At 39.4% G+C, this 26856-nt stretch overlaps 1 protein-coding gene and 3 pseudogenes across 3 annotated transcripts in view; 2 read left to right on the top strand and 2 right to left on the bottom strand.

Moving 5' to 3' along the window:
* Window positions 1–26856, top strand: part of GIPC2 (GIPC PDZ domain containing family member 2) — a 93475-nt gene that overhangs the window by 40498 nt on the left and 26121 nt on the right. For all 3 annotated transcript variants that reach the window (NM_001304725.2, XM_047423230.1, NM_017655.6), the window contains exon 3: window positions 9485–9665. In NM_001304725.2, coding sequence (NP_001291654.1) covers window positions 9485–9665 — 181 coding nt within the window. The remainder of the gene's footprint in view (window positions 1–9484; window positions 9666–26856) is intronic.
* Window positions 3521–3616, bottom strand: RNU6-1102P (RNA, U6 small nuclear 1102, pseudogene; annotated as a pseudogene).
* Window positions 5939–6728, top strand: LOC100422537 (signal sequence receptor subunit 3 pseudogene; annotated as a pseudogene).
* Window positions 9340–9448, bottom strand: RNA5SP22 (RNA, 5S ribosomal pseudogene 22; annotated as a pseudogene).

Raw genomic sequence — 26856 nt, forward strand, 5'->3', positions numbered from 1 at the left:
CCTCCTCAGTAGTTTCTATAGGAATGGCACCAGCTTTTCTTTGTATATTTGATAGAATTCAGTTGTGAATCCATCAGGTTCTAGGCTTTTTTTTTTTTTTGGTTGGTAGGTTATTTATTACTGCTTCAATTTCATTATTGGTCTGTTCAGGAAATCAGTTTCTTCCTGGTTCAGTCTTGGGAGAGTGTATGTGTCCAGGAATTTATTCATCTCTTCTAGTTTTCTAGTTAGTGTGCATAGAGGTGTTTATAGTAGTTTCTGATGGTTATTTTTATTTCTGTGGGGTCAGTGGTTACATTGTCTTCATCATTTCTAATTGTGTTTATTTAGATCTTCTCTCTTTTCTTCTTTATTAGTCTAGCTAGTGGCCTGTCTATCTAACTAATTTTTTTCATAAAACCAACTCCTGGATCTATTGATCTTTTGAATGTTTTTTTTTTTTTTTGTCTTGTTCAGTTCAGCTCTGGTTTTGGTTATTTCTTGTCTTCTGCTAACTTTGGGGTTGATTTATTTTTGCGTCTCTAGTTCTCTTAGTTGTGATGTTAGGTAGTTAAGGTTTGAGATCTTTCTAACTTTTTTAATGTGGGCATTATAGTGCTATAAGTTTCCCTCTTAAAACTGCCTTATCAGTGTCCCAGAGATTCTGGTATGTTGTATCTTTGTTCTCATTAGTTTCAAATAATTTCTTGATTTCTGCCTTAATTTCACTATTTACCCAAAAGTCATTCAGGAGCATGTTGTTTAATTTCCATGTAATTGCATGGGTTTTAGCAATTTTCTTGACTTCTATTTTTATTGCACTGTGGTCCAAGAGTATGTTTGGTATGATTTCAGTTCTTTTGCATTTGCTGAGGAGTGTTTTATGTCCAGTTATAATATGTGGTCAATTTTAGAGTATATACCATGTGGTGATGACAAGAATGTATATTCTGTTGTTTTTGGGTGGAGAGTTCTATAGAGGTCTTTCAGATCCATTTGGTCCAATGTTGAGTTCAGGTCCTGAATATCTTTGTTAATTTTCTACCTCAATGATCTGTCTACTACTGTCAGTAGAGTGTTGAAGTCTCCCACTATTGTTCTGTGGGAGTCTGTGTCTCTTTGTAGGTCTTTAAGAACTTGCTTTATGAATCTGGGTACTCCTGTGTTGGGTGCATATATATTTAGGATAGTTAGGTTGTCTTGTCAGATTGAACCCTTTTACCATTATATAATTCCCTTCTCTGTCTTTTTTGATCTTTGTTGGTTTGAAGTCTGTTTTGTCTGAAACAAAACAGGGATAGGATTGCAGCCCCTGCTTTTTTTTGTTTTCCATTTGCTTGGTAGATTTTTTTCTCCATCCCTTTATTTTGAATCTTGGGTGTTATTTTGTGTGAGATGGGTCTCTTGAAGACAGCATACCGTTGGGTCTTGGTTCTTTATCCAGCTTGCCACTCTGTGCATTTTAAATGGGACATTTAGCCTGTTTACATTCAAAGTTAGTATTGATATGTGTGGATTTGATCCTATCTTTGTGTTATTAGCTGGTTATTATGTTGGCTTGTTTGTGTGATTGCTTTATAGTAACACTGGTCTATGTGTAAGTATGTTTTGTATTAGCTGGTACAGTGCTCAGAGAAATTAGAGAAGAGACAAACACATGGAAAAATATCCCATGCTTGTGGATAGGAAGGGTCAATATCATTAAAATGGCTATACTACCTAAATCAATTTGCAGATTCAATGCTATTCCTATCAAATTACCAATGACATTCTTCACAGAACTATAAAAAATTATTTTAAAATTCATATGGAACAACAGTGACAAAAAAGCCTGAATAGCCAAGATAATCCTAAGCAAAAAGAACAAAGCTGGAGGCATCATATTACCCGACTTCAAACTGTACTACAGGGCTACAGTAACCAAACAGCATGGTACTTGTACAAAAACAGGCACATAGACCAATGGAACAGAATAGAGAGCCCAGAAATAAGGCTGCACAGCTACAACCACCTGATATTTAACAAAGCTGACAAAAATAAGCAATGGGGAAGACTCCCTATTTAATAAATGATGCTGGGATAGCCATATGCAGCTAAGAAATGATGCTGGCTAGCCATATGCAGAAGACTGAAGCTGGACCCCTCCTTACACCATATACAATAATTAAGATGAATTAAAGACTTAAATGTAAAATTCAAAACTATAAAAACTCTGGAAGACAATGTAGGCAATATCATTCTGAACATTGGAATGGGCAAAGATTTCATGACAAAGACACCAAAGCAATCAGAATAGAAGCAAATATTGACAAGTGGGATCTAATTAAACTTAGGAGCTTCTGCACAGCAAGAGAAACTATCAACAGAGTAAACAGACAACCTACAGAATAGGAGAAAAATATTTGCAAACTATGTATCTGATAAAGGTCTAATATCCAGCATCTTTAAGGAAAGTTACCAGAAAAAAAAGACAACTCCATTAAAAAGTGGACAAAGGACATGAACACTTTTCAAAAGCAGACACACATGTGGCCAACAATAATATTAAAAAAAAAGCTGAACCTCACTGATCATTAGAGAAATGCAAATCAAAACCACAGTGAGATACCATCTCACACCAGTCAGAATGGCTATTATTATTAAAAAATAAAAAAATAAGTTGCTGGTGAGGTTGCAGAGAAAAGGGAACCCTCATACACTGTTGGTGTGAGTGTAAATTAGTTCAGCCATTGTGGAAAACCGTATGGCAATTCGTCAGCTAAAAGCAGAACTACCATTTGACTCAGCAATCCCATTACTGGGTGTATACCCAGAGGATTAGAAAGCATTCTACCATAAAGACACATGCATGTATATGTTTACTGCAGCACTGTTCACAATAGTAATGACATGGAATCAACCTAAATGCCAATCAGCAGCAGACTGGATAAAGAAATGTGGTACATATACACCATGGAATACTATGCAGCATTAAAAAGAATGAGATCATGTCTTTTGTGGCAACATGGATGTAGCTGGAGGCTATTATCCTCAGCAAACTAATGCAGGAAGGAAGAGAAAACCAAGTACTGCATGTTCTCACTTATAAGTGGGAGCTAAATGATGAGAACTTATGAACACAAAGGAGGAAACAACAGACACTGGGGTCTACTTGACCCCAGTCATAGTGAGACTCTGTCTCTACAACAAATAGAAAATCCCTTAACCCCAACATAGTGAGACTCTGTCTCTACAGCAAATAGAAAAAATTAGCTGGGTATAGTGGCATGCACCTATAGTACCAGCTACTCATGAGGCTGAGGTGGGAGAATTGCTTGAGCCTGGGGAACTCAAGGTTGCAGTGAGCCATGATCATGCCACCACTCTCAGCAAGACACTGTCTCTTAAAAAAAAAAAAAAAGTCAAACTATAAAAAATACATTCAGAGATGTGTCACTCCTTCTCCTAACTCTTCTATCCCATTACTTTTCCACACTCCTTAGAGATAACCAATTTTATTAATTTCTGTTTTATCCTTCCTGTGTTTCTTTTTGCCAAGATAAGCAAAATGGAATGTTTCATGAGTTTGCATATCACCATGTGCAGAGACCATGCTGTGTGATTATAATTTTAATGTATGTGCTGCTGAAGTGAGCACTTGGTATGTTTTTAACTTGGCTGGAAATAAGAGTAGGTTAAAGTCACAGTAGGACAGTGTGGTAGGTGTTCAAATGAGGGTGAGCATTCCACGGTGAGAGAGGCATTACAGTGCGGTGCATAGGGGCATGGACTTTAGAATCAGATAGGCCTGCTTTCAGTCTTAGCCAGATCACTTATTTACTGGCTGTGTAACATTGGCCAAGGCATTAAACTTTTCTGAGCCTTCTCTCAAGTGGGAATGTTAGCACCTACTTTATAGTATTATTTGGGGGTATAAATATAATGACACGCTTAAAATGTCTGCAGTACTCACAATTAATAGCTAATATTTTAATATTAGTTCTAACAATAAACTATTACATAATTAGGAGAGATCAATGGCAGAAAAATGCATTTTATAGTTTTGTATGGTTCACACAGATGAAACTGGTTTTTTTGTTTGTTTGTTTTTGTAGAGACAAGGTTTTGCCATGCTGCTCAGTTGAGCAGGGCTCAAGTGATCCCTCTCTCTAGGCCTCCCAAAATGCTGGGGTTACAGGGATGAGCCACCATACGTGGCCCAGATGAAACTTTTTAGGTGAAAAAACAACCTACTTAAATGTTCATGATTTTATTATCTAAGTCTCAACATTTCTAAGAACAAAAAGTATATAAATACCTTAATCAGAAAATTAAGAGCATACTTATAACAAAACCTGTATATAGTTAAGGCAGCAGCTGGAAAATGTTTTCTGTAAAGGGCAGATGGTAAATATTTTGTGCTTTGTGGGTTATATGGTCTTTGCTGCAACTACTTAACTAAGCCCATGTAGCACAAAAACAGTTACAGATAATACTTAGATGAATGAGCATGCATGTTTCCCAGTGAGAACTTACTCATAGACACTGTAATTTGAATTTATTATAATTTTCACATCATAAATCTTCTTTTGATTTTTTTCCGAACCATTCAAAAAGGTAAAAACCATTCATAACTCATGGGCCATATAAAAACAGGTGGTGGCCCATGGTGGAGGGTACACATCACCCTGGAGTTCTGCTGTGAGCCATAGTTTGATGACACCTGGTTTAAGAGAATAGACTTGTACTTTAATTAATTAATTAATTTACTTACTTACTTATTTATTGAGACGGAGTCTCACTCTGTCGCCCAGGCTGTAGTGCAGTGGTGTGGTCTTGGCTCACTGCAACCTCTGCCTCCTGGGTTCAAGCGATTCTCCTGCCTCAGCCTCCCGAGTAGCTGGGGTTATAGGAATGTGCCACCATGCCTGGGTAATTTTTGCATTTTTAGTAGAGACAGGGTTTCACCATGTTGGCCAGGCTGGTCTTGAACTCCTGACTTCAGGTGATCTGCCCGCCTCACCCTCCCAAAGTGCTAGGATTACAGGCATGAGCCACCGCACCAAGCTGAGACTTGTACTTTCAAATTTAAAATAAAAATAAGGATTTATAACATGCAATTAAGAAATGAGGCTAAATTGATTTTTAAAAACCCACCTGACTTTGTTTTAAATTGAAATAGTTTGACTAACCACAAAACTGTCATTCTCAGAATATCTCCTTCAGATCTTTATGATTTGCCATACTTTTGCTTTAGTAGAACCACATTTTAGAGTGATCATTTCGAGAAATATGATACTTACATATTTCTAACATTTTACTTGTTCATTTGCCCAAACTAAGAATCAGCAAGACTGGAAATATAGGAAGTCAAGGGGGCAGAGGATTACAGGATGGAAGCTAGGATCTGAGCAGAGGTCTGTGAAGCCAGAATAGACATGATGATTTGTGAAAACAGGTACTGTTTGAGATCTGGAGACCATGATGAGGTGTTGATGAGAAACAGCTTTAGTAGAAATAAGGAAACGGAAAATGGAAAAATAAGGCTGTCAAAAAAAAATTTCAGAGTTCAAAGGTGATAGATTATTTTGGACATTTATAACCCAAAACTTTGTACTTTAGGTCAGAAGACCTTGGGTTCTATACCTTTTTTAAAAACATTTTTAATTTTAAAAATTATGTCACCTCTGTTTAAGACCTAATTCTGTTGTTTATTAGCTGTGTTATCTTGGGCAAGCCATGTAATTATTGTGGCTTAAATTCCTCATTCATTAAATGGAATGATAAATATCCTTTTCCTAGGCTTATTGTGAAGACTAAATGAGATAACTATTTACAACTGTATGACTGTTAGCTTATTATTATGGGCGAGGTTTGAGGACAGTGTTGGAAGGATCAGCAACACAAATCTCAAAGTTGCTGATCATGGCGACTGGACATGTAGCTCAGAGTCTGGTGCTTAAGATTTTAGGGAGAGTGGAGCCGATAAGGCGGCCGCAGGGGCGGAGCCAGGGGCCTTTGCCTGGCTTGGTGGCTGGCTCTACCTTCCCTGTTTTCACCTCCCGCTGCGCTAATGGCTCCCAAAGGCAGCTCCAAACAGCCGTCCGAGGAGGACCTGCTCCTGCAGGATTTCAGCGGCAACCTCTCGGCCAAGTCCTTCGCGATCTTCTTCGGGAATGCGTTCGTCGTGTCTGCCATCCCCATCTGGTTATACTGGAGAATATGGCATATGGATCTTATTCAGTCTGCTGTTTTCTATAGTGTGATGACCCTAGAAAGCACATATTTGGTAGCCTTTGCATACAAGAATGTTAAATTTGTTCTCAAGCACAAAGTAGCACAGAAGAGGGAGGATACTGTTTCCAAAGAAGTGACTAGAAAACTTTCTGAAGCTGATAATAGAAGGATGTCTCGGAAGGAGAAAGATGTAAGAATCTTGTGGAAGAAGAATGAAGTTGCTGATTCTGAAGCTACAACATTTTCCATTTTCTATTAACAACACTCTGTTCCTGTTCTTGGTCATTTTTGCTTCTTCTTCGTTTTGAAGAACTTCAACCCCACAGTGAACTACATTTTGTCCATAAGTGCTTCATCAGGACTCATCGCCCTCCTGTCTACTGGCTCCAAGTAGACCATGTCAGCTTCACCCCCCGGCTTTGTGTCTGTGGGTGGCCTGTGGTATATGGAAAAGTAGCAGGGTGTTCAGGATGGGAGACACACAAGATGTTTTTATAGTCTAGAGCCTTTAAAAAACCCAAGGGAATGTAATTGAAAGGGGAAAAAAAAGATTTTAGGGAGAGTGTATGCTGCCCTAGACTTCTGCTGACATCTGTGATGAGAAGGCAGAATTCTCTAAATATATGGGATGAACATAATGGAAGATATTATAATAATGATCTGAAATGGTTGGAAACCTCTATGTTTAATAATGTAAATCCTATCTTCCAATAAATAAATAAATCTTCTCTACCTTTTGCACCATCAAGCTTCAAAGACAGGTGAAAGTTCCTGAGTGTTATAGAGAATAGTATAAGTAACTCAGTAAATAAAGTATAGCATTAATGCCTCTCTTTTTTCCTTCTTATTCCTTTGCATCTGATTAGTGCCTTTGGCAATATTATTAATCTCTGTCAAGTTATTTTATGATTATCAAAGCACATTAGGTTTCAGAAACTTGTCTCCATTGCTCCCGTATTGTTTATTCTGCCCACTTTGGAGGCTAAGGCTCAGGTAACCCATAAAATATATAATCCATGTCTCCAACTTTGCTTCTTTATCTGGTTCATCTTCTCCAAGTTTCCTATATTGATTTTCCTGTGTCTTCATTCCAGATTCTTATCTGCTGCCTCTGATAGTGAAATGTGCTGTGACTTTTCTCTTGCTACCTGGATTCTCACCCTGCTGTCTGCTCTGACTTCCGGTGACTGCCTTTCTTCCCTCTGGGCACTCTTCTGGTTGCTGAGGCATCTCTAGGATTACTGAAGTGACTCATGGGCCTCTGCAACCCTAGATTTCTGTTACTCTGACCTTTAATTCCCTGGTGAGATTCAGGTGTGTCTTCAAAGTCTTTAACTTTTATATAATGCTTATTTTAAATAAAATTGTAACTCTAAATCTTAAGCTAAAAATACTGTGTGGTGAGACTCTGAAATTTGTATGGTGTAGTTGACCAAATAAAAAAATAAATTCAAGATGTATCAAGAGATAAATTAGAATAAAAACTAAGAAAAAAAATCAAAGTATAGATTATTGAATTCTTTGATGAATTATGAATTGTGTAAAATATTTAATAGTTTTTTCTTCTTTAGACTCTAGTCTTTTCTTTAATCTTGTTTATTTTTCTATGACAGTTGAGAAACTCTAGTTGTACTGAGTGATTCCCATTGTTTCTGTTAGCGATATAAGTTTAATATGGGTTTCTAATAAAATAATGTTGGTAGATTATGAAACTTCTGGTATCTTTGTTTAACTATTTCTAATGACAGTGAGCTCTGTTTAAATTGGCATTATTGTGACATTTGCATATAGCATGTTAACAGCCACTATTAGAATGAATGAACATAGCAATATTCTTAAAATTTGGGATAAAAGAGAAATCTATTTTGAGTTTTGATTTATAATAATGCAATTTAAACATTAAAAATGCTTAACCTTCCTAAGTTATTCTTGTTCCTGATGACAATATGACGGAGATGCTGGAGGTAGTTGAGATCAGTTTTCTCCTAGCTCTTGGACACAATGATCAATCACCCTGCTGATTCAGAAGATGTTATACTTCCACCTAGCAAGGGTAAAGAATACACAACCTTTATTACACAATAGCAGCCACTCCTGATATTGCTATCATTCCTATGAAGGATTTGGGACTTCTGAGACAGATTATGGCCTTCATTTTGCCTCATTCCTCATCACTGTGGAAGAACTTGTACATCCTCTGCAGGGCTGTTTTCTGCAATTCTGGAAGATTTTTCTGGAGCTCCTGCCCCTAAAATCCTTTCAGAAATTCTTGGTGCCATCTTGGGAATACTAGATACCATTTTGATACTTTACCCTACAGATGTATTGTAGAGAAGTAAGATAGATTTAAGAAAGACCAACTTGAAGTTTCTCCTTGGGGTCCTACATTCTGTTCATCTAAAATACATAAATGAAAAACAATAGCATCAAATCACCCTTACTGGCTCCCAAAATGATAACCATACTTATCTTTTATTGGGTATCAGGCGTCTTAGCTAAGATGGTATTATTCTTTGTGTCTTTGCATCTGTAACTAAATGCAGCCAATTGAAAAAGCTCAAGCTCTATTCTTATGTGATGGGCCTCAATTGAAATGATTCAGTAATCACTAATGAAGGGACTTTGCAGATATTGTGCTAGGCACAGACATGCAGTAGTGAATAAGACCATCTCTGTCCTCAAGGATATTAGTTTAGTAATGGAGACTGAGAAGTAAATGAACAATCGCACTGTGGTATGTTGAATCTGGCAAATTACTTGATCTTCTGAAGCTTTAATCTTCCTGACCTGTGACATGAGAATCTCATAAAGGTTGTTAGAATTAAATGAAATAACAAATGTAAAGTGCTTAGTTTAGAATTCAGCATATACAGCAAAACGTACTGTAGAAGCATGAGAGTGGCACCTTACCCATTCTTGGTGGAGTGGGTTGGGAATGTCAGGAAAAGCTTCCCAGAGGAGGTGGTGTATGAGTGAGCTGAATTCTGAATGATAAGGAAGACGAAGAATGGTTGGAGGTAAGATAGTGGTTCTTGGTTGCTCAGTCTTCCATCTCTAACTGAGCATCAGACTGCATTGTTATGTCAATACATTGTATTTAATGTCTCAAAAGCATAAAAAGTACTGTTACACAGTTTTTTTTTAAACCTGTAGCATCTGATATTCCCAGGCAGTCTCCCATCCAAGTACTAACCAGGCCCAAACCTGCTTAGCTTCCAAGATCAGATGAGATTGGTGCATTCATTACACAGTTCTATTTTATATTATGTTATCATCAATTTCCTTTCAGAGAATTAAAGATGGTGGTGTTATTGACTCAGTTAAAACAATCTGTGTTGGGGATCATATTGAATCCATAAATGGAGAAAATATTGTTGGGTGGCGTCACTATGATGTTGCTAAGAAGTTAAAGGAATTAAAAAAGGAGGAACTCTTTACTATGAAGTTAATAGAACCTAAGAAGGCATTTGGTAAGTCAGGGGTTGGTGGGCGGGTGTGTGAAATGTTTGCTTTCCCTGGTTTATCTTTCTAAGGGAAATGAGTACTGTGATATGGTGCTATGTGCTTTTAGTGTCTTCTTATCTAACATATCAGTTAAAAACATAGAAAATGGTAGCACTACTTATAAGAAAGACAACTATTGAAGGAAGAAAAAAGAGAAAATTATTGCCTTGTAAAAGGACATTTTCCAAACATTTGAAATTACAAAGTCTAATGTCTAGTGACTGAATTTGATGTGGCTGTTCCTATCTCTGAGAACAGCACATTGTATTGTTTTCATTTTGCTGAGCAGTAAGATTTTTGACTGAGCTTTTAAACCATAATAACTGTTGCTCATGGATCTCAGCAGCAAAAATTATAGTTATATACAGAATGGTATTTAAAATAGTTATCTAGTCCATTTTAAAGACCCCCTTCCCCAATACCTTTCCTCCATTGGCATTTTGAATTTGGCAGCATGGGATGGTATGAAATTATTTCCACTTTGGGGTGACATCTGTACTTGCTTGGTTTTAGCCATGACAGCTGTATTCCAACTGTTGTTCAATCACCCAGGGCTATCTCATCTACAGAAAAATGTGCCAGCTTCTCTCTTACCACCCAGAACTATTTTAATAAGCCAAACCAAGGCCTAGCATTCATCAGCGTTAAAATATCTGTAGCAGAATCATCTCAGGCTTGCTGTTACTCATCATGACCCCACGCACCCTATGTTCTTTCCTTTGTTCACAGAACATAAATATTCCATTTAGTTTGTCTCTAATGCCATTTTCTCAGGGCAGTTATTGGAAATAATGGAAGAATGCAGTGGATCTGGGGAATTATGTTTTCTGTGTCTTAGCAAGTAAGTGACAGGTCCTAGGCATGTGGAATTAGAATTTTTTCTCTGCTTCTACATGCTTCTGCACCATTTAACAGAAATACAAGTGTAGGTTATATTACCTGTGGGAGGCAGTTTTCCAGAAGGTGTAAGAAAAAGATGCCTTATACCAGTACCTCCTGGAGGGAGCACTCTAGGAACTACCTCTGTAGATGCTGTGATTCTGCCTGGTGCCTTGCAGCATCTGAGCTCACTTCTCACAGAGGAAGGAAAGCAGCACTCAGGTTTCTATCCAGTAACTCCTTTCAAGATGGCTTCATTTGGTAACCTAACTCCCCAGATAGCATGGTGAAATAAATTGACAGGGTGTAGATGGTTTGAGATAAATATTCTTATTTGATTTAGACTCTTTGTAAATCAAAGCCATTCTATTAGCATAACTCAAGAAATCTATTTTTTTCTGTATTGATCTCCACTACATAATCTGTTTCCAGAGTAAATTTTTCTGTTTTTTTTTTTTTTCCCATTGTCTGCATCTAGATCTTTTGGTCCTCATGTCTTTGTAGAAAGTTATTGATATACCTTAACTTGGATGCTAGGTTGGTGATAGTCTTAAATGTTGCAAAGGTCGTTGTATTTAGCTATTATTGTTCCATGATTAGATTTTCCCTTCAGTGTTGTAGACATGAGTAGAGTCAGTATACTTCACTGCCTTATGTACCTAACTACTATTGAACCGGCTGTTGCCTCATGAAATCAATGGACACATTTGCAAAGTACCCTGAGTAGGATTTTCCTAATAGAGGTATATTATTTGAGCATCCTGAATTCTGGTAGGGCTGTTGGTTAGAACATCCAGAGATTGACTTTGGAGGAATAAGTTTTTATTTTCCAAGGTTTCTATGGAAGTTTAACTCAAGCTGCTGGTCTTTATGCATTTTCTGTGCTGTGGATTGATTCTTGACTCTGGGCCCTAGTGTGAGGGGTTTCTTTCTTAAAAGTAAGCCTGGCTGCTCTGCCTGTCCTCCAGCCCTGAATTTTTCTGCTTATTGTTTTGCCTCTGGGATAAAGACAAAGCTACTTTGTTTTTCATCCTTTGGCTTCGTCCCAGTGCTTAGCTCTTTGCCAGAGAGGGGAGCATATATCAGGGGGTACTTGGGGAATCAGGCTTCCCCCAATTCTCTTGGTTCTAATCTTATCTTTTGCTATGTTTCCTTTCTTTTTTTCCTGTATTTTCTGGCATTATTATTGACTCAGGGCCAAGAATTCAAATTTCATAGTCCTTCATGATTGTCTGATTCTCTGTCCTCTTGGATTTCTACCAGGAGAAGGGCCAGTCTTAGTGAGGCAGAGTTTTCTCTGCATTCAGATAGGCCACCTTGGCTGTAGCTAAGTCACTTATAGGATTTTAACAAAAGCTGTCAGAAATGGCTATATACACCAATATTTTGACATTTTCCTACCAACTTCCCTAAAGACTTAGCCTGGAGAGGCATGTGGACTATATCCCAAAACACAAGAGGAAGGAGCATAGTTGGCTGCTTTGCAATGGCGTAACTAGGACTGCAAGCACCACTTCTTTGTAGTGGTTAGGGAAATCCTTTCTGCCTGCCTTCATTTCCATATTTTAGGTCCACCACTAGCTACACTCCACTTCCAGGGGCCATTATATGTGTTAATATTCTTTGATGGAGAGCTACGTAATAAACACTGTCTAATTTCAGGAGAAGGCATTTATTAGAGACTACCATGTAGGTCCCAGAAACAGTCAATTGAGCCTTGACAAGGTCAGGAACCAAGCCTGTTTCAGGGGTGTGTGTACCAGGAACCATTCATGGCACTGGCTGAATTGACTCTTGGCAATTATTTTCTGTTTTCATATCACTTCACTCAGGATTCAAATTCCTGGGAGAGGTGGAGCAAGTAAGTAGGTCTTGTACCCATCTTGATAATGGGGAAGGCAGGCTATATGATACACCTACCAAAATCACACATAACATGAAGGGATAAATTTCCTTATAGGTAGGAAAAAAGTAGCAGATGCCCATTTTGCTATTTCTTCTAAGCTGTTATATCTTGTTCTGCAGCCACAGCAGTATTGATTTTCTCTTGATTTTGAATCTGACTGTAGCCATGTATGATATCTGTCAGTCTGGGAGTATTGGAATGGATTTGGAGGGAGAAGCGTATTGTCAATTGTTGTGGGTGTTTGACCTTAAGGATTTTATTTTTCTGCTATGAGTTGGGTGCCACATACATAGCTGTTTGGCAGTGGACTATCTAGAGATGATGACAGCATCCAACTTTCTTTCAGAGAAAGAGTAAAGTCACATTTTCCTTGGTGCTGGCCATCAGATTTGGAGGGGACCAATTTTGACTATACTTACCAATTTTGACTATACTTAACAATTTTGACTATAATTACCAATTTTGACTATACTTCTAGGAAGATTTTTAATTATCTGTAAATTATTTTTAATTTATCTATCTCACAAATTATTTTTAAATTATCTATCTCACAAATTATTGAGACTCTTCTGTGTTTCAGGTACTCTGTGTGGCATAGAAAATACTAAGGAGGAAGACTAAGTTATGGCTCCTGCCTTTCGAGGAGCTCATGGTCTAACAGGAGGCTGTTATGGGCTGAATTGTGTCCTTCAAAATTCACATGTTGAAGTCCTAATCTTCACTACCTTAGAATGCAACTGGATTTGTAGATAGGGGCTTTAAAGATGTAACTAGGTTAAAATGACATCATTTGGGTGGGCCCTAATCCAATATGACTGGTGTACTTATTAGAAGAGGAAATTTAGACACAGACACAGGGAGGATGCCATTTGAACATGAAGATAACTATCTATCTGTAAGTCAAGGAGAGAGGCCTCAAAAGAAACCAACCCTAGAGAAACCTTGATCCTGAACTTCTGGCCTCTAGAACTCTGAGAAAATAAATTTCTATTGTTTAAGCCACCTAGTCTATGGTACTTTGTTATGGCAGCACTAGGAAATTATAGAGGATAATAGGAAAAAAATTACAGTACCAGTTCTTTGACTATGGAAGTAGACCTTGGGCTTCCTAATAATCTAGAAGGTACAGGTATTTTAGCATTCCTCTGGCCTTGGGAAGATAGCAAGAGCATACTAATATGTTTCCATTCAGACATTTGTTGAGTAATTAGTATATGCTTGTCTTAGGGTATTAGTTGCCCTAGACAATAATAGTTACCATTTATTGAAAGCCTACTGTATACCATCACCATACCACCTGCTTGGTACATGCATGAATAAGATCCAGATCTAGGAACTCATGTCTAGTGAGAAGAGATGGATATGAAAAAAATAAATAAATTTAATAAAGGCGATTAGAGGTGCTAAAATATACTGGATGTGTAAAGGTGGGAGACATCAAGTGTGCTTAAGAAGTTCAGGAAAAGCTTTCTTTTCTTTTCTTTTCTCTTTCTTTTTTTTTTTTTGAGACGGAGTTTTGCTCTGTTGCCCGGGATGGAGTACAGTGGCACGATCTCAGCTCACTGCAACTTCCGCCTCCCAGGTTCAAGCGATTCTCCTGCCTCAGCCTCCCGAGTAGCTGGGACTACAGGCACGTGCCACCGTGCTCGGCTAATTTTTTGTATTTTTAGTAGAGACAGGGTTTCATTGTGTTAGCCAGGATGGTCTCAATCTCCTGACCTCGTGATCTGCCCACCTCGGCCTCCCAAAGTGCTAGGATTACAGGCGTGAGTCACTGCGCCCAGCCAGGAAAAGCTTTCTAAGGAAAGAGATTTGAGTTGAGTCTGAAGGTATGAATGGTGCTTACTTAGTGGATGAATTGGGGAAGGTTGTCCTAGGAAGTGGGAACAGAATAAGCAAAGTTACAGAGGTACAGAATAGCATCATGTATTTGGGAACACCTTGTTTGCCAGTGTTTTTGGTTAGAGGTTATAGGTGGTGGCGTCACAGGAAATGAAGCTCAAGAGTCAGTAGAGAACAAATATATCAAGGGCCTTATATATGAAGACAAAGACTGGGCAATGAAGAGGCAGAGGGGTAACATGGTGAGTCTTTAATTTTACAAAGATATTTTGGAGACTGTTAGATAAAGGGATATAAGATAGAGTTTAGGAGATCATAAATGTTCTATTAACAATAATAGCTATAATTTGTTCAGTGTGAGAGACATGAATTAAGGCAGTGCCTGTAGGCATGAAGAGAAGAGAAATGGTTTGGAGGAATAGATGGTGGTGTGCTGGAGCCATTTGTACACATCTCTTCCCAACTCCTCCTTCATTGACATCAGGTTAATTGTTTTAAATGAGCTATAATGGGATATTTATAAAAGAGAAATAGGTAAGCCCTGTAAGTCAGGGCTCTTTATTTTAATTTTTTTAGTGCAGAGAGCTGATTGTTAAATGTACCTGCACACCACTGAATAATAAGATTGAATTGGTAACCTGTTGGACATAGAAGTAAAGGAAGGAGAGACTGCAAATGATGACCTCAGATTTGTGGCTTCAGGGAGGGAGTATGCTGTCATTCTTTGAGATGAGGAAAGCTGGCAAAGAAATAGATATGGGCGAGGAGATAGGATAGGAAAGAAATTATAAATACAATTTTGGACTAAATGAATTTGAAATCTGTGGAACGATTCAGTTAGACTTGTACAAAAGGGCTGGGTGCGGTGGTTCACTCCTATAATCCCAGCCCTTTGGGAGGTTGAGGAGGGAGGGTCACTTGAGGTCGGGAGTTTGAGACCAGCCTGGCCAATGTGGTGAAACCCTGTCTCTACTAAAAATACAAGAATTAGCTGGAAATGGTGGCAAGCACCTCTAGTCTCAGTTGCTCGGGAGGCTGAGGCAGGAGAATCACTTGAATCTGGGAGGTGGGGGTTGCAGTGAGCTGAGATCACGCCACTGCACTCCAGCCTGGGCAACAGAGTGAGACCCTGTCAAAAAAAAAAAAATACACACACACACACACACACACACACACACACACACACACATACACACGAGGTAGATGAGCATTGATAATTGGGGCCTAGAGAATGAGATTTATGAGTAATTTTCTTTGATTGGTCGCAGAAGCTATGGAAATAGATTCAATCACTGAGAGTGATAAAAGGACCAAAAACAGAGCAGTGAGGGGAACATCAGCATTTAAGGGGCAGAAAGAGAAGGAGGAGCCAGCACTGAGGAATGGCCAGACATGGAGGACCTGGCCTTCTGGGTAGCCTTTATCCAAGTACTCAAGATCAAGTCACTTGTCCCACGAGCAGATGTTCCATTGCACTTTCCCAAGTTGGCTGTGGGGCTCTGAGGGAGGAATAAAGGCCATTAGAAAATGTACCCTCAGAATCTTCTGTGCTGGTCAGAATTTAAATTACTGTTTTTCAACCAGTAGGTTTCAACCAGTGTGTTTAGAACACAAAGTAGAATAGAGTTGAAAATATTGTGCTTTGTACATTGCAAATATTGTTTCAGTTACAAATAAATATGTGTATTTCAGTTTTATTATCTTTGTGTATATTTATGGGTCATGATATAACGTATGTATTTTTTACTGTGGGTCACAGAAAAAAACATTTGAAAGCCACTGGCTTAAATGACTCCCTTGTTGAAAGTTTGTAGTTGAATGGGAAATCTTTCCCATACTTAACATGGTTCCCCCTGGTCAGCTGGTTACTGATTCAAATTTTCCTTGTTCTAGCCATGAGCTGATGGCAGCATTCCCAGTCCTTATCAAGTATCGGCTGGAATGTCTGTAGTGGTATTTTTTAGGGCATGGCTCACTTCCTTTCTCCTTTTGCCAATGAAAAGGAGCATGGCTTTACAATGAGCTCAACCTTGCAGAGTTTGCCCTGTAAACCTAGATTTTCCCAAGGCCATGAAAATCCCTCTTCCATTTAAATGACTCTAAGACCAGACAAGACCAACTCATTTGTTTTCCTATAAGGTCTTTTAAATGCAGAAAAAGAACAAATCCATAAAGCTTTGATTTGGTTTTACTTAAATGAGTCTCGACTTCATTTATCCTGCAAATTTCCAATTTGTGATTCTTGCGTGCCCTTTATGGAAAGAGGTTTGAGGAAGGAGGCCTGAAATATTTCTGTAAGAGTTTTCAAAAGCAGGAAGAAAATTGGAAGAAGAAACTTACCTCCTAAAGCATTTATGGTCTTTATTTTAGGGTTGGATTTTGTAACAGATCATTGGGTTATATCTTCTTTTAGAAGATTCATTTCTGTGCGGTGTATCCATCAGAATAGGATGTTAAGTATGTGAAGTGCATCTTAGTCTTTTGAGTCATTCACAGCTGGAAAACTCGGACCTCATCTTCGTGATTCAGCTTAACTGATGTACTCACTTCAAAGGCTAAGCCTATTTGATATTAAGAGATAAACTGTGGCTTTTAAGTTTTATATGACTTTTTGGATAGACATTTCAAACATTTAAAAATTACTTTTTATTATTCATGCTGTATCTAGGGAAAAAATTTCAATCAATTAATACTTTTGGTACCTTTTCATATATACTGAATTCTACAAAATATATTTGGGAATATGAAAAAAGTTACAAAAGAGATGATAAATTTCAGTAGTTAAGTGTGTAGTCTCTGCCAGGGACTGGCTTATGATATGTGACATTGGGTAAGTTATTTAACCTTTCTGTGCCTTGGTCTCCTCATACAAAATGTGAAGATGTGTCTACCACATTGAGCTGTTGTGAGGATTAAATGATTAAACATGAAAGAATCATAGAGCAGTCCCTGGTATATAGTAAGTCTTCAATAAGTTATCTGTTATTATTACTATTATTATAAAGGTGTATCCTTTTCTTTAAGGAATAATTTTAGAAACAAGATAAACCCACTGAAACAGGAAAAGCAATGTGGATGAATTGGTGATCAACAAGTATTTGTTGAGAACTCTGGCACTGTTTGGATTCTGGAAAGACAGATGGCAATATCACATCTCATATCAACTAAGGAAATATGTCAGTACATCATAATAGTAGCTGCCATTCGCTTTTCCTAGGACTTTCTAAGTAGGAAATCATTTAGTCCTTACAACCAACCTAAAAGGTGAAGCAGTTTGCCCAAGGTTACAGCTAGTGAGCGAGGGAGGCACACTTCTAAACCAAGCAGTCAGCCTCCAGAGCCAGCTCTCTAACAGCTGTTACAGTGAGTCAACATGCTTGCTGTCCTCAGGGAACTTACAGTTTACATAAAGAGGCAGATACATTAAGAATCAAGTAATTCTACTAACAATAATAGCTACCATTTGTTGAATGAAATATAGTATAGCAGTGAAGAGCATAGACTGTGAGCTCAGTTACTTAGGTTTGATTCCTATCTTTGCTGCTTTTAAACTGTGTGATTTGGGGTGTTATTTAACCCCTCTATAAGCCTGTTTACTTACCCATAAAGTATTTTGAGGATGAAATGAGTTAATGTATGTATGTGCTTAGAACAGTGTTATGTAATTGCAACCCATTGTGACTAGGACTACTGCTATTATGGCCTGACTTAATAATCCTCATGCCATTCCTATGAGGGTTTTTCAGCTAGGTAAACTGAGGCTTGGGCAGTTAATTCATTAAGACTGCCCAGTGGCAGGCGTAAGTGTGGGCATAGCACTCCAGTCCTGTTTGCTCTCGAGGCTTGTGCTCTGAACATTATGTGTTACTGCTTCTTCAGAACATAATGCAGACCATGATGCATGCTATAGTGCAGATTTAAAGAGTGAAGTTTATCTGAGCGCTGACTTGTCCATGATTGGGAGGGGTTCTAAGGCTTAGAGAGTGATAGGGATTGAGAGGTAGTAAGATTGGAAAGAAACTCCCTCAACAAAGAAAGCTATGAGACAGGTGATTTATGGCAGGTCCCACCAGTAACAGGGATCAATGTCCTGTTCTCATGAAAGGCGACAGGACATCTGATAGAATGGCATAAGGATATTAGAGCTTTTAAGTGCTGTGGCTTTGCGATCTCAGGTGAAAGGCCCTTGTACACACTGGGTGTGGGTGTGGGGGTGGCCTGTGAGTGCACACACTGACTTGGACGTAGAGCTTCATGGTCTGGTCTATGATGGACAGAGTGCAGCATCAGCCTTTTGAAGCCTGGGAGATGGGGAGAGGCCTTCAAAGCAAAACCAAGAGTAAATTTCTCACCAAACCTGTGCCATGCCAGTGGTGTGTAGAGGGGGGAGAGGGGGCCGGGGGTGGTGCTCAAAGTCAGATTCAATTAGGCATTTCTTACATTCAGAATTGTGGAGTAAAATTTAAAAGCCACTACAGAAATCTGTAGCAAATCAGGCTGCAAAAGCCGCTCAGGACCCTATTAATAAGAGCTCTGAAAACTCTTATTTTTCAGAGCTCTTATTAATAGCTCTGGGTTCTGGTGGGGAACCCAGGCTTGTTTTACAGAGTAATAGGGAATCATTTAGATGATATTAGAACTGAAGAATGACATGATGAAGCAGATATTTGGGAATTAAGCCCAGGAGACCAATGTGGCTATATATGACTAGAGGATAAACCATGTAAGAGGCTGTTGGAACAGTTCAGGAGGAAATGATCAGGACTGGGATTAGGGGCAGCAGTGGGAATTCAAAGGAAATAAAAAGTGTGAGTAATATTGTAAGGGTAAAAATGGGGTAGGAGGTGGATTGATGACACTTAGCTAAAGGGGAGAAGGGAGAAGGTTCAGAAGCAAATGTCACTCCCAAGATTTCTATCCTAGGAGCCTGTGATAACAATGATGCTATAATTGGAAATGATGCAGTTGGGATGTAGAAATGGTTTGGGGGACAGTCAGGGATAAAAGTTCAGTTTCAGGTGTATTGCATTTTATCTGACAGTGATACTCTCTTTCATGTATTTTTTGGCAAAGTAAGTGTACACAGTGACAGATTTTGAGGGGCAGAGCATACTGTCGATCATCTTATTATGTAGTAGAGTTTTTCCTGGCCTCTTCGTATCTAGCTACACTTTGGCTTAGCATTTGTCACAAAGATACTATGGGAGAAGATGAATAAAAAAATCCAAGTTCCCTTTTGTGGAGTGTCACAGATGTGTTAGACAAGTGCTGAGTGTAATTGATAAATTGGTTTTCAAGGTAGAGACCCAGCTGGATACCTAAATATAGATCCTTTCTACTCTAGTTGTAAACTTGCATTAAAATTTTTTTTATCGAATGCTCAGTTTTTAATCTGAGAAAAATGAAATTATTATAATCTATAATACTAAAAACTTTGTAAGCTATATTTTTCAAGACATTTACCCTAAACAGTGATTGATGTCTTGTAACTGTAATTTTTTTTTTTTTTTTTGAGATGGAGTCTCACTGTGTCACCAGGCTGGAGTGCAGTGGTGCGATCTCAGCTCACTGCAACCTCCGCCTCCTGGGTTCAAGCCATTCTCCTGCCTCAGCCTCCTGAGTAGCTGGGACTACAGACACGCACCACCACGTCCAGCTAATTTTTTGTATTTTTAGTAGAGACGGGGTTTCACCATGTTGGCCAAGATGGTCTCAATCTTTTGACCTCGTGATCCGCCCACCTCGGCCTCCCAAAGTGCTGGGATTACAGGCATGAGCCACCTTGCCCGACCAGAACCGTAATGTTTTTTAAGGACCATTTAGAGTTAATAACAACCATGAATAGGAGGTACATAATAGTTTTCAACTGTTTTTAAGCTTATTAATTAAAACAGCAATGTGAGATGAAGGGGTAAAAAATGATGCTTAAATGTAAGTGGCTTTTCTAATCTGAATAGTATGACTATAATGTTATTTATTAGAAAACAGCAATTATATAAATAATACATATTCTCCCCAAGAGTATTTTTACAACGGGAATTGTCATTTAATTATAGGAAAATGGATCTAATAAATTATGTTAAAAATCGTAGTCAGAGTATGTTTTCAGATAAGTTAGGCAGATAAGCAATTTGATTTATGTGTGGAAAAATGTTTGTGAGGCTGGGCGCGGTGGCTCATGCTTGTAATCCCAGCACTTTGGAGGCTGAGGTGGGCGGATCACCTGAGGTCAGGAGTTTGAGACAGCCTGGCTATTATGGTGAAATCCCCTCTCTACTAAAAATGCAAAAAATTAGCCGGGCATAGTGGCAGTCTCCTGTAATTCCAGCTACTTGGGAGGCTGAGGCAGGAGAATCGCTTGAACCTGGGAGGCGGAGGTTGCAATGAGCTGAGATCGCGCCACTGCATTCCAGCCTGGGTGACAGAGTAAGACTCTGTCTCAAAAAAAAAAAAAAAAAGAAAAAAATGTGAAAAGGCAGATTACGGCAGGGTGTGGTGGCTCACGCCTGTAATCCCAGCACTTTGGGAGGCCGAGATGGGCGGATCACGAGGTCAGGAGATTGAGACCATCCTGGCGAACACTGTTAAACACCATCTCTACTAAAAATACAAAAAAATTAGCCAGGCATGGTGGCAGGCGCCTGTAGTCCCAGCTACTTGGAAGGATGAGGCAGGAGAATGGCATGAACCCAGGGGGCGGGGCTTGCAGTGAGCAGAGATCGCACCACTGCACTCCAGCCTGGGCAACAGAGCAAGACTCCATCTCAAAAACAAAACAAAACAAAACAAAACAAAAACAGATTACAACACAACGTGCTGTAATATCCCAGTTTTGCAAAAACTTTTTAAGTGTAGAAGAAAAATACCTTACAGTGGATTTTTAATTTTATTTATTTATTTATTTGAGACAGAGTTTCGTTCTTGTTGCCCAGGGTGGAGTGTGATGGTGCTATCTCGGCTCTCTGCAACCTCTGTTGCCCAGGTTCAAGTGATTCTCCTGCTTCAGCCTCCCAAGTAGCTGGGATTACAGGCATGTACCACCATGACTAATTTTGTATTTTTAGTAGAGGCAGGGTTTCTCCATGTTGGTCAGGCTGGTCTCGAACTCGCGACCTCAGGTGATCCACCTGCCTCGGCCTCCCAAGGTGCTGGGATTACAGGCATGAGCCACTGTGCCCGGCCTAGGTGGCGAGTTTATGGACGGCTTTTCTTTCTCTTTCCTTTTAATTTCTTCTCCCTCCCTCCCTCCCTTCCCTTCCTTCCTTCCTTACTCTCCCTCCCTCTCTTTCTCCCTCCCTCTTTCCCTCCCTTTCTTTCCCTACCTTTTTCCTTTTCTTTCCCTCCTTCCCTCTCTCCCTTGCTCTCCCCCTTGCTCCCTCCCTCCCTCCTTCCAGGGTCTCACTCTCTGAGGGTGGAGTGCAGTAGTGCAGTCACAGTTCACTGCAGGGCTCAAAAGATCCTCCCACTTCAGCCTCCCAAGTAGCTGAGACCACAGGTGCAGGCCACCAACCTAGCGAATTTTTCAGTGTTTTGTAGAGATGGGATCTCACTCCTTTGCCCAGGCTGGTCTTGAACTCCTGGGCTCAAGCAGTATGCCAGCCTTGGCCTCCCAAAGTGTTAGGATTACAGGCATGACCTACCATGCCCGGCTGACTTTTTTTCTTTAGGCTTATATTTTCCACATTTTAAATATAAAACAAACACATTAACTTTCATAACAAGAAAACAATTATTTTAAAAAGGAAGGCTGGCCAAGTGTGGTGGCTCATGCCTGTAATTTCAGCACTTTGGGAGGCTGGGGCAAGCAGATAACTTGAGGTCAGGAGTTCGAGACCAGCCTGGCTAACAGGGTGAAACCCCATCTCTTCTAAAAATATAAAAATTAGCCGAACATGGTGGCACGCACCTGTAATTCCAGCTACTGGGGAGGCTGAGGCATGAGAATCACTTGAACCTGGGAGGTGGAGGTTGCAGTGAGCTGAGATGGTGCCAACGCACTTCAGCCTGGGCAACAGAGTGAAACTCTGTCTCAAAAAAAAAAAAAAAAAAAAAAAAAAAAAAAAAGAGCTAGCATTCTAGGAAGTAGAAGAAACTTATTCTACGTATTGTAGCTTTACAGTTTTCAACTATATGATGCTCCTCATTAAACAATTTTATTATAAATAGTTCCATGTGAGAAATGTGGTAGAATATGTTATCAACTCTTTACATTTGCAGGATCTGTTTTGGTAACTATTTTTCTTAACTTTGTAAAGTCTAGGGGGAAGGTCCAGGCTGTGTAATAAACCAGTAATAAAGGTGAACAATAATTTTTATTTCTTGAATTCCCATGATAAAATCATATTATAGGGTAAAATAAGTGAAAGGATAAAACGAAATATTTTAGCTATCATTCTTTGTTAAAAGAACGACCTTTTACCTTTCCAAATTAGAGTCTAGAGGTTTGTAATCTTTTTTTGTAACACAGTCTCCTCTGGATTAAAGGTATGAACTTTTTCCCCAGAGATGCACATTAACTTGTGCCTGCAATTTCAGGGAGTTATGAAAACAGCGTTGGGGCTTTCTTAAATGACATCTTAACTAAAGAACAAGAAGATTTCTGGCACAGTTATTGCACTTCTGATATGCATCACACCCTGTTCTGTCTTATCGACGGAATGGTTGAGCCACCTTTGTGTGCTTGTGGGGTTCATTCATATGTGGGCAGCTCTTTTGATCCAATAGACAACAACTGACACCTTCATGCAGGTGGCATCAGTATATGCCTCCTTTTCCTTGCCTTTGGTCTGTCTCAGCACCCTACTAATTGTATTTTTTTAAAGCCTATTCTAAAGAAGCTTCAGAAATATTGGAGAGAGGAAGGATGCAGGGAGAAAGGGAGTGTCGTTAAAATCTTAAATTCTGAGACACAAGCTAGATTTTGTGTCAGCTATCCTGAGGAGTGTGTACATAGGTTGTGGGTGAATGTGGGGTAGGGAGCATGTGTTTATGGACAATGCTGTTGGTATGTATCTAAGCATTGGAAGGTCTTTTCAGATGGGTTGCCTCATTACTTGGACAGAATTCTTTATCTGTGAGGTTTCTTTCATTTGGAGACCATGGTAAACCCTACTAAACTGGCTTAAGCAGAAACGGGAATTGTACAAACCAGCAGTCCATGAGTGATGCTGGCATTAGCAAAGCTCTGTGTGGGGCCCATACAATGTGACTAGGACTCAGTTCCTTGCCTTTTCTCTCTTCTGATGTCCTGTCTGATGTACCTGATTCATCATTTAGGTATCATCATATTAAGGTTAGCTCCACACTGTGTCCCAAGATGGTGGTCAGCAACTGCTGGGACCATCTGCTTTCTTATTCATGCAGAGCAGAAAAGGAGAGAGACTTTGGCTCAGAATTTCTAGCAAAAGTCCTGAGATTTATTCTGACCTTGCGGCCTTTAGTCACATGCTTGCCTCTGAAACAATCACTGTGATGAAGGGGATCAGTTTGGCTTAGCCCATTCTTGTGTCCCATATCTGAAGCTAGGAGCAGTCAGCTTCCCCTGATCCGCAGTGATCCTTAAATGACCAATGGGTGCTAAAACAACCAATGAGAGTTATTTACCAATGGCAACTCATAACTTTTAATAGAATGCAAAATGAGGTAGTGTTTCTAGGGTGGACCTGCCTGGCCTTTTATTCCAGCTCTGCCCACTTACCTGGTTGTCTGTGATCCTGGTGAAATCATTTCACTTTTCCAAGCCTTGGTTTCCTGAATCATGAAATTAGGATAATAATCATACCTATCTCATAATAGTTTTATGAGTATTAAAAACATGTAGATAATTTTATATGCTGTTACCTGGGATATAGTCAATGCTTGGTTAATAAAAAGGCATTACCTTTGACTTACCCCAAATAATTTACCTTGACTATCCCTAGATGAATATAGTGTGTTTTTTTTTCTTTTGAAATAAAATTGGTCTTGAAGAATAATGCTAGTTTAGAACCAACTCAAATGTCCAACAATGATAGACTGGATTAAGAAAATGTGGCACATATACACCATGGAATACTATGCAGCCATAAAAAATGATGAGTTCATGTCCTTTGTAGGGACGTGGATGAAGCTAGAAACCATCATTCTCAGCAAACTGTCGCAAGGACAAAACACCAAACACTGCATGTTCTCACTCGTAGGTGGGAATTGAACAATGAGAACCCATGGACACAGGAAGGGGAACTTCACACACGGGGGCCTGTTGTGGGGTGGGGGAAGGGGGAGGGATAGCATTAGGAGATATACCTAATGTAAATGACGAGTTAATGGGTGCAGCACACCAACATGGCACATGTATGCATATGTAACTAACCTGCACGTTGTGCACATGTAACCTAAAACTTAAAGTAAAAAAAAAAAAAGAAACAGCCTATAATGCTTGATAGGTAGCCATCTGTAGAGGGAACCTCTATACCTTGAGAGATATCTGAAAATGGGGGCAGAAAGCCACAAAGCCCAGGTAGAGCTGTTGACTCTAATTATTATTGCTTTGTAGAAATGTGTCATTCTCCAAGAGAAACCAAAAATTTGAATTTTTATGAGAAATCACCCAATATTTAAAAGGTTGCAACTAATTAAAAAATTTGAAAACACTGCACATCCAACAAATATGTCTGTATACTATATGTAACTGTGAACTCCCTGTTTGTAGTCTTGTCCTGAGAGAATTGTCCTTAATGCCAAAGTCCTTTGCTCTGGTGACATGCACACTAAACCTCTCAGGTAACCCTGTGAGTAGAAAACTTCAAAGGAATCATTTCTGGAAGGGATAGAGAACGAATGAACTGAGAGTTGCCTAGGTGGGAGGGACTTGGAAATGTAACCTCTCCATTCATCGCTTTTGGAATCTTTGAACTTGCTGAACTATATAGCCTGGAACACTTTCCTCTCTCTACTCCTCCCCTTTACCCATCTAGCCTTGCTGTCTTTACCTGTGATGGTTGAGTCTCTGCTTATGAATCACTTTCTCCAGGAAGTCTCAGGCATGTGAGAATGAAGCATGGGAGCCCACTTGGGCCTTTGATAACATCTCTCCCTATGGATTAATAAACTGATTTGGTGAGATCTGTTCTTTGTGAATTTGGCTAGTGTGAATCAATCGCTAAGATTCAGATCAGCTCTGGGAACACTGAAAAAAATAAGCATTCCTGGGTCTGCAATACTGAGGATTGCTGGTGCGCACATCCTGCCGAGTGCTGCTGAGTTGCCATCTGGCCCACCCTTTGATATTTCTCTTGGTGCTCTGTAACTTCAGAGATGGAAAGTACAGAAACTGTTGGTTGAATTTGATGAGATAGCTGAGTTCACCCTGCATGGGTGGTTAGGGGAGGGAGCTGCATGTTTACTTTTCTGGGATGGAGTGGTGATATGGATGGTCACTTGCCCACATGGTGTGATAAAACTGTAATAGGGGATATTGGGGCGGCGGGGGGTACTGGACAGAGACCACAGAGTCCAAGGATTTTACTCTTTTCTCTGGGCCCCTCAGTGGGCTCTTCTTCCCCTTCCTCACTAGAAGGAGCCCATTACAAAGTGCCCTGTGAGGGGCTGGGCTTACACTCATCCACTTTAGAGGACCTCAGATGGAGCAATGGGAGGGGCCATCTGTTGTTTCCACCCTCCTCTAAATTTTAGGGAGAAATCATACTGTTTTAAAGAAGAAATAAAATAGAATAAAGAAGAGACCTTTGCCCCTGGCCTTTCAAGTGACAGCTTTCTGAACATTTTACGAGGAGCCTTTGCATGTTTCATTTTTTAGAGAGAAAATCTATATAAGTTGTTTTGTTAGGAGACAGTGGAAGGGCACATTTCCCTCTCTCCAGGTTGAAACACACCAGCAGAAGCAAATTATAAACTCTAGCAGCAGCGTTCTATTAACGTGAGCCAGGCCAATGGGCAAAGCATCTTTCATACAGTGGTCATTTGAGTACTTAAAACTATGCTGTAAATAGGTGTAAATATTTTGTAAATAAGAACTTATTCCTCAAGTTCACACAACTTGCAAGGTGAGGAACTGGGGTTTTAACTAAGGTGCTCTGATTCCAAAGTCCATGTTCTTAACCACAACACTGTGGATAACAGTACAGATTGAACCAAAATACTAATTTTCTTATAAGTAATCCCAGTAGATATCAGTGATCAGAATGCAATTGAGAGCATTACTTACAAGCATCGTGATACCACATTTGAAAACAGAGTGATGGTAGAGATAATCAGACCTCAGTACTAAAGTCCTTGTAAGATGTTTTAAGAGAGCCAGATAATATGCTTTTGAGAAGTCAGGAAAATTTTATCAGGGTCTCACTTTCAGCAGAGATCTAATCAGAAATATTAGAACAACTTTCATTTCACAGTTTGGAACTGAAAGTAATTGGTTTGTTTCCTTTTTGTCACCAAAATGCCACTCATTATTTTTTTCTCCTACCTCATTTTCACACAGGCCCTCAGCCCACTACAGTGTTCCCCCTTTACAACTATTTCCAGATGTTCTC

Source organism: Homo sapiens, chromosome 1 (assembly GCF_000001405.40).
Source record: "Homo sapiens chromosome 1, GRCh38.p14 Primary Assembly".
Classification (NCBI taxonomy): Eukaryota; Metazoa; Chordata; class Mammalia; order Primates; family Hominidae; genus Homo; species Homo sapiens.